Source organism: Homo sapiens, chromosome 12, assembly GCF_000001405.40.
Source record: "Homo sapiens chromosome 12, GRCh38.p14 Primary Assembly".
In the NCBI taxonomy this organism is placed as follows: Eukaryota; Metazoa; Chordata; class Mammalia; order Primates; family Hominidae; genus Homo; species Homo sapiens.
The window spans coordinates 107,791,642-107,799,534 of NC_000012.12; the positions used below are offsets into that span (position 1 = coordinate 107,791,642).

Genomic DNA, 7,893 nt, shown 5'->3' on the forward strand with positions numbered 1-7,893 from the left:
GTTCCAAGCAAAAGTCAGAAGATTACTTCAGTTTTCTGCTAGTTCAGTCCATTTGGTTAACTCTTATTTTGCTTGATATTTGTGAGGATTTCAGCTCTTCATGAGTCCTGTATGTTTTTACTTTATTCCAATGCCATAATCTCCAAAGTTATCAGAAACCTGCATTTGAGAGCATCTGTCAAATTTCTATAGTTGATTATAAACCATCTTTTGAAGAGAATCAAAACAAGACAATTGTCTGTGAATAACAAAATGTCCAGGGTAGTTACAGTCATAAACATGATTGACAGAGTAATTTGGTTATCTCCGTGGTTTACAATAACTTAACATAACATCCTTAATTGTGCCTGATAGCATATACTCAGACATTAAAATTTTAGAAATCCCATACAATTTTGGAGCAAATATTTATATTATTCCCTAAAATATAAGCTGAAGAAGATTAAACATCATTTTGGCAATCCCATGTACCTAAACATGTCAGGTGATCCTGTTTACCTCTCTTCTGGATGTTCCAAGGGCCTGCTGTAGCATTCAATATCCAGGTGTCAGGAAAAATGATTTTGAAACTGAAGTTTGATTTTAGGAAGCCTGTTAAATATGTTAGAAGTTTAAAATACTTCATGTTATAAAACAGAATTCCAGATTACCTTAAGTTATTTATTTTGCCAAAATGACGACTCAGAAATTTTAAAAAAGCAAAAACCTTTTATAACCCTTTACAAATTTTGCTAAAGAGCAGATAAGTGCTTTAAGAGTACCTTATTGTGCTTTTATTTCAATGCTCAATTTACAGAAAAATGATATAATACCCTTTTGAATTAGTAAATATGTTCACACATGAGATTTCTTTTCTTTCTTTCTTTCCTTTCTTTCTTTCTTTCTTTCTTTCTTTCTTTCTTTCTTTCTTTCTTTCTTTCTTTCTTTCTCTCTTTCTCTCTCTCTCTCTCTTTCTTTCTTTTTTTTTGAGACAGAGTCTTGCTCTGTTGCCCAGGCTGGAGTGCAATGGTGTGATCTTGGCTCACTACAACCTCCACTGCCTGGGTTCAAGGGATTCTCATGCCTCAGCCTCCTGAGTAGCTGGGATTACAGGCATGTGCAATCATGCCTGGCTAAGTTTTGTATTTTTAGTAGAGACGAGGTTTTGCCATGTTGGCCAGGCTGGTCTCCATCTCCTGAACTCAAGAGATCTGCCCGCCTCGGCCTCCCAAAGTGCTGGGATTATAGGCATGAGCCACTGTGCCTGGCCCCATACATGGAATTTCTTTTGCAAGATTAATTTTTATAATCCTTCCACAACTTGTTTGAACTTTTAGCTTTATCTTATCTAATTCAAAACAATCCTTTAACCCTAGGCAAAAATTTTCATTTTTTTTTTCAAGTATCTCACTCTGTCACCCAAGCTGGAGTGCAGTGGTACAATCTTGGCTCACTACAACCTCTGCCTCCCCAGTTCAAGTGATTCTTGTGCCTCAGCTTCCCAAGTAGCTGGGACTACAGGCATGCATCACCATGCCCAGCTAATTTTTTATATTTTTAGCAGAGACATGTTTCACCATGTTGCCCAGGCTGGTCTCGAACTCCTGAGCTCAGGCAATCCACCCGCCTCAGCCTCCCAAAGTGCTAGGATTACAGGTGTGAGCCACCATGCCCAGCCAAAAATTTACATTTTACCAATAATCTTTAAGGCTGTTTTTTTGTTGTTGTTGTTGTTGCTGAGATGGAGTTTCACTCGTCACCCAGGTTGGAGTGCAATGGTGCGATCTCGGCTCACTGCCACCTCTGCAGGGAGGAAAAGTGAACATTCCCCTCTTTTTTTTTTCTTTTTTCTTTTCTTTCTTTCTTTTTTTTTTTTTGATGGGACACAAAAATCACTGCTAACAAATGCAAATACAAACACATGGGGACTATACAAAATTTTAGAGCTTCTGCATGGGGAAGAAAAACAGTCATAACAGAAGGCATCCTACAGATTGAAAGAAGGTTTGGCAAAATCATATCTGTGAAAAGGGTTGTTATCTAACATGCACAATAATATACTACTATATAGTAGAATGTACTACTATAACTGGGAAAATGAACAAAACCTAATACCCAATCCAACACTGGGCAAAAAACCTGAAAAGGTGTATCTGAAAAGAAAACTTGAAATTGACTAACAAGTCAAAGACAAATTGCTCAGCTTCACTAATCCTCACACAAATGTATAAGTGCAAACCACACTCAGACACCTCTCACTCTACTTAGAAAGAAACTTAACAAAACCAACAAAAAATCCCCATATGTTCACAGGCAATGGCCAATGTAGATTTGGAGAAAAAGAAACTTTCTTTTTTTTTTTTTTGAGATGGAGTCTTGCTCTGTCACCCAGGCTGGAGTGCAGTGGCATGATCTTGGCTCACTGCAACCTCTGCCTCCCAGGTTCAAGTGATTCTCCTGCCTCAGTCTCCCGAGTAGCTGGGACTACAGGCATGTGCCCCCACACCTGGCTAATTTTTGTATTTTTAGTAAAGATGGGCTTTCGCCATGTTGGCCAGGCTGGTCTCGAACTCCTGCCCTTAGGAGTTCGCCCACCTCGGCTTCCCAAAGTGCTGGGATTACAGGCATGAGTCACCACACCCAGCCAAAAGAAACTTTTATACACTATTGATGGGAATGTACATTACTGTACACATGATGCAAAACAGTTGAAGTTACCTCAAAAATTTAAAATTACAACTACCCTTTCATATAGCAATCCCACCACTGGTTATTCACTGAAAGCACATGAAATCTGTTATGTTGAAGAGATATCGGGCTTCCTATGATGACTGAAGCACTGTTCACAATAGCAAAGACATGGAATCAACCTACCTGTTCATCCACAGATGAAGCAACACAGAAACCACAGTACACAATGGAATTCTCTTCAGCCATAGAAATTCATGAAATCATGTCATCTGCATCAACGTGCAGAAACCTGGGGGATGTGACATTAAAGGAAATGAACCAGATAGAGAAAGACAAACACTGCATGACCTCATTCATGTGAGAATGAGATCAACTTTATCTCTAAACAACTTTATCTCTTAGCAGTAGAAAGTTCAATAGTGGGCCGCATACAGTGGCTCACACTTGTAATCCCAGCACTTTGGGAGGCCAAGGCGGGCAGATCACTTGAGGTCAGGAGTTCCAGACCAGCCTGGCCAACATAATAAAACCCTGTCTCTACTCAAAATACAAAAATTAGCTGGGCATGGTGGTTGGTGCCTGCAGTCCCAGCTACTCGGGAGGCTGAGGCAGGAGAATAGCTTGAACTCAGGAAGCAGAGGTTTCAGTGAGCCAAGATCATGCCACTGCACTCCAGCCTGGGTGACAGAGTGAGACTCCATCTCAAAAAAACCCAAAAAACAAAAACAATAACTTGGCAAATGTAACTAATCACACATACACACACAAAATCAAAACCACCACTCATATTCCATCTCACTCTAGATGGACTGGATACTACAAAAAAAGTTGAAAAATATTAAAAGACAAAACAATGATGTGTGGGTTTTCCACAAAGGAGGAACTTGTCTCCACAGTTCGTGGAAACATAAGCTAGTATACACACTGAAAAAACCACTTGGAGTTTTCTCCAAACCTTAAAACGACAACTACCATTTCATCCAGCAATTCAACTACTAGGTATATATACACAGCACATGAAATCAAGACATGGAAGAGATTATCTGCATTCGCAGGTGGAATCCAGCACTATGCAGACTAGCCAAGATAAGAAATCAGCCTACCTACCTGTCCATCTGCAGATGAAGGGAGAGAGAAGCTGTCCCACATGCAGACACTGGAATACTCTTCAGCCAGAAGAACACAATGAAATCCCATCATGGGAGCCACACGGTTACACCTGGAGGACATGAAGGTAAATGAAATGAGCCAGGAAGAAAGATAAACTTTGCATCCTTTCACTCATGCAGAAGCTGAGAAACTGTATCTCAAAGACCTGGAAAGCATAGCAGTGGTTATCAGAGGTTGGAGGGAAGAGGGGGAGTGAGTAGGGATTAGAAAAGGGTACAAAGTTCCACACAGATGAGAGGAAAGAAATCCTGTTCTTCTATTCCACAGCAGGGTAACCAGGGTTAACAGTATGGTTGCATCTTCAAAATAGCTTGAAAGGAGGATACTGAAGCTTCTTGCCACAAAAGAATAAACAATGGTACAAAATAACAGAGACACTAAATACCCTGATTTCCTCATTCTACAATGTAAGGAAAGACCAAAACATTGCACTCTACCCTCTCATTGTATTCCTTTGCTATTCGGCAAATTTGTTTAAAGAAACTTAAATACATGATGCTAAAATTCACGTGGAACCATGAAACACCCTGAATTTCTTCCAAAGCAATCCTGAGACATCCAGACTATGTGAGATGCATCTCACCCACCGATTTCAAATTTTATGGAAAAGTTAGAGACCCGCTTCCACACAGAGCAGTGGAACACGAGAGAGGACCAAGAGGTAAACTCACACACCCGACTGATCCTCTACAGAATCCACAACAATAAGCAAGGGGGAAAAGATGCCCTATTCAATCAATGATGGTGGGATAAGTGGCTAGTCATGGGTGGAAGAGAAACACTGGGTCCCGACCTCTCGCCAGACACAAAAAGGAACTCCAGATGAATAAAAGATCTAAATGGAAGACCTCAAACTATTAAAATCCTGCAAGAAAACATACAAAATACCTTTCTTCACATAGGTTTTGGCAAAGAATCTATGTGGCTACGTCCCCAAAAGCAATGGCAACAAAAATTGACATGTCAGACCTAATACTGTAAAGAGCTTCCACACAGCAAAAGAAATTAGCAACAAACAGATAGCCTACAGAGTGGGAGAACATGTTCCCAAACTGCATCTGACCAAGGTCTAATATCCAGAATCTTCAAGGACCCTTGCAAATCATTCAGCAAAAACAAACAAACAAAAAAACCCATTAATAAATGGGCAAGGGACGTGAACACACACTTCTCAAAAGACAATGTGCAAGCAACCAACAAAGAGGAAAACATGCTCAAACTCACTCATTAAGAGAGAAATGGAAGTCAAAAGCAGGTTGAGATACCATCCCACACCACTCAGAATGGCAATGACTGTGCAGACAAAGAACAGACCCTGGCAAGGCAGCCAAGGAAAGGAAACACTGATGTGGTCTAGGTGGGGATGCAAACTAGTACAGACACTGTGGAAAGCAGTTTGGAGATTTCTCAAAGAACTTAGAACTACCATCTGACCCAGCAATCCCGCTCCTAGGGATCTACCCAAAGGAAAATGCATCCTTCTGTCCAAAAGACACAGGCACTTTTATGTTCACAGCAGTGTCATGCACAAGGGCAAATAAATGGAATCAACCTAGGTGCCCATCAACAGTGCATAAGATAAAGATGTGATACGTATATACCATAAAACACTAAACAGCCGCAAAAAAAGACAATCACATCTTTGGCAGCTGCAGGCCATTATCCTAAGTGAACTACAGCCAGAACAGACATCCAAATGCCACACATTCTCACTTGTAAGTGGAAACTAAACTATGAATGTACCTGAACATAAAGAAGGCAACAACAGACAGTGAGAGTGACTACTGGACCCCCACAAAAACAATGAGAGAGAGGGGGCATTATATGCTGAAGACCCACCTTGTGGGTCCTCTGCTCACTGCCTGGGTCATGGGGTTGTTGGGACCCCAAGCCCCAGTGTCATGCAGTCAACAGATGTAATTAACCTGTGTGTGTACCCTTTAGTCTATAATAAAAGTAGAAATTATTACACACACACACACAAAGAACAAGCTTAGGAGCTGTATAAACAAAAAAAAATAAGAAAAACCTGTAGTTATCCAAACAATCCTTTTCTGGCAAACACGCAGAAAGATTAACCTATGGACAAAATGAGAAAGCCAAAAAATGCAGCCCAAAATTACATATGGTGAACGCATTTTTCAAGAGAACACCAAATATCACAACAGTGAAGAGAGAAGTTTGCTCTGTAATAGTCTTTGAGTAAAATGGATTTCTACCTGCAAAACAGTGAAATGGGCCCTCACATTACACAGGACACAAAAACCAATGCAAAGTATATTAAAGATCTCCACCCAAACCTGAAAACACAAAACTCCTAGAAGAAAACAGGGTGAGCATTTACTTCAGTAAACCTGAATCTATGCACACAGATTGCCAAAAGGAAAGAAAACAAAAGGGAAAAGTAGGAGGAAGAAACCCATAGACAATGCAATCTTTTTTCCTTTTTTTTTTGTGATGGAACACCCAAACACCATGAACACATGCAAATATAAACATGTAGGACTATGGAAACCTTTAGATGTGTTCCACTGGAATGAAACCAATGAACTGAAAGAGAAGATGTCCTGCAGAGTTGGAGACAGATCTGAAAAACTGTATCTCTGAAAGTGGTTGTTATCTAACATGTCCCAGAAACTAAAACCACTGTGTTTGAAAAAAACAAAACAAACAAAAAAATCCACTAATACCAAAGCTAAAAATGGGCAAAGGCCCTTAATAGACATTTCTGAAAAGATGACATGAATTGACTAAGGAGTCAAAAAGAAGTTGCTCAACTTCATCATTTCTCCCACAAAGGTAAGTCCAAACCACATTCAGATGGGGTCTCGATCCACTTAGAATGAATCCTACCTAAAACAACCCCCCTCAAAATGTTTATAGGTAATGGCCAATGTAGATTTGCAGAGAAATAAACCTTTCAACACTACTAATCAGACTGTATATTACTATGTACACTATAAAAAACAGTTGCAGTTTCCTCTAAAAAGAAAAAAAAAATACAACTGCTCTTTAGTGTAGCAATCCTACCCCTGAATATACACTGAAAGCACTTGAAATGTGTATTTTGGAGAACTATCAGCCTTTGCATGGTGACCAAAGCACTATTTACAGTAGCCAAGATATGGAATCAACCTACTTGTCCATACACAGATGAAAGGATAAGAAACTGCAGTGCACAATGGAATCTTCTTCAGCCATAGAAATTCGCAAAATCACGTTATCTGCAGCCACATGGAGAGACCTGGAAGGCATGATGTTAAATGAAATGAGCCAGGCAGAGAAACACAAACGTGGCATGATCTCACACATGTGCAATCTAAACAACTTTATCTTGTAGAAGTACAAAGTTTAATGGTGGATACCAGAGGCTTGGGGGCAGGGGGCACTAGACAGGGATTGCAAATGGATACAAAGTTACACTTACCTGAGAGGAATAAATTCTCCTGTTCTATTCCACAACAGGATGACTAGTGTAGGCACCAGCCCCACAGGGTCGGTGGGTCTCTCCCCGTGTGCGGAGATGAGAGAGTGTAGAAATAAAGACACAAGACAAAGAGATAAAAGAAAAGGCAGCTAGGCCCAGGGGACCACTACCACCAAGTCACGGAGACCAGTAGTGGCCCCGAATGCCAGGCTGCACTGATATTTACTGGATACAAGACAAAGGGGCAGGATAAGGAGAGTGAGCCACCTCCAATGATAGGTAAGGCCACGTGAGTCACATGTCCACTGGACAGGGGGCCCTTCCCTGCCTGACAGCTGAGGCAGAGAGAGAGACGAGACAGAGAGAGAGAGAGAGACAGCTTATGCCATTATTTCTGCTTACTAGAGACTTTTAATACTTTCACTAATTTGCTACTGCTATCTAAAAGGCAGAGCCTGGTGTACAGGATGGAACATGAAGGCGGACTAGGAGCGTGACCACTGAAGCACAGCATCACAGGGAGACAGTTAGGCCTCCTGATAACTGCAGGCGAGTCTGACTAATGTCAGGCCCTCCACAAGAGTTGGAGGAGTAGAGTCTTCTCTAAACTCCCCCGGGGAAAGGGA

The 7,893-nt window shown here is 40.9% G+C and overlaps 1 long non-coding RNA gene across 1 annotated transcript; it reads right to left on the bottom strand.

Moving 5' to 3' along the window:
* Nucleotides 1–2,859: 2,859 nt before the first annotated feature.
* Nucleotides 2,860–7,542, bottom strand: LOC105369963 (uncharacterized). The gene is made up of 4 exons (XR_945316.2): nt 7,268–7,542; nt 6,980–7,084; nt 3,778–3,889; nt 2,860–2,959 (listed from the first exon to the last, which is right to left on the bottom strand). It is a non-coding gene; the product is annotated as an uncharacterized LOC105369963 (long non-coding RNA).
* Between the last annotated feature and the right edge of the window lie 351 nt (nt 7,543–7,893).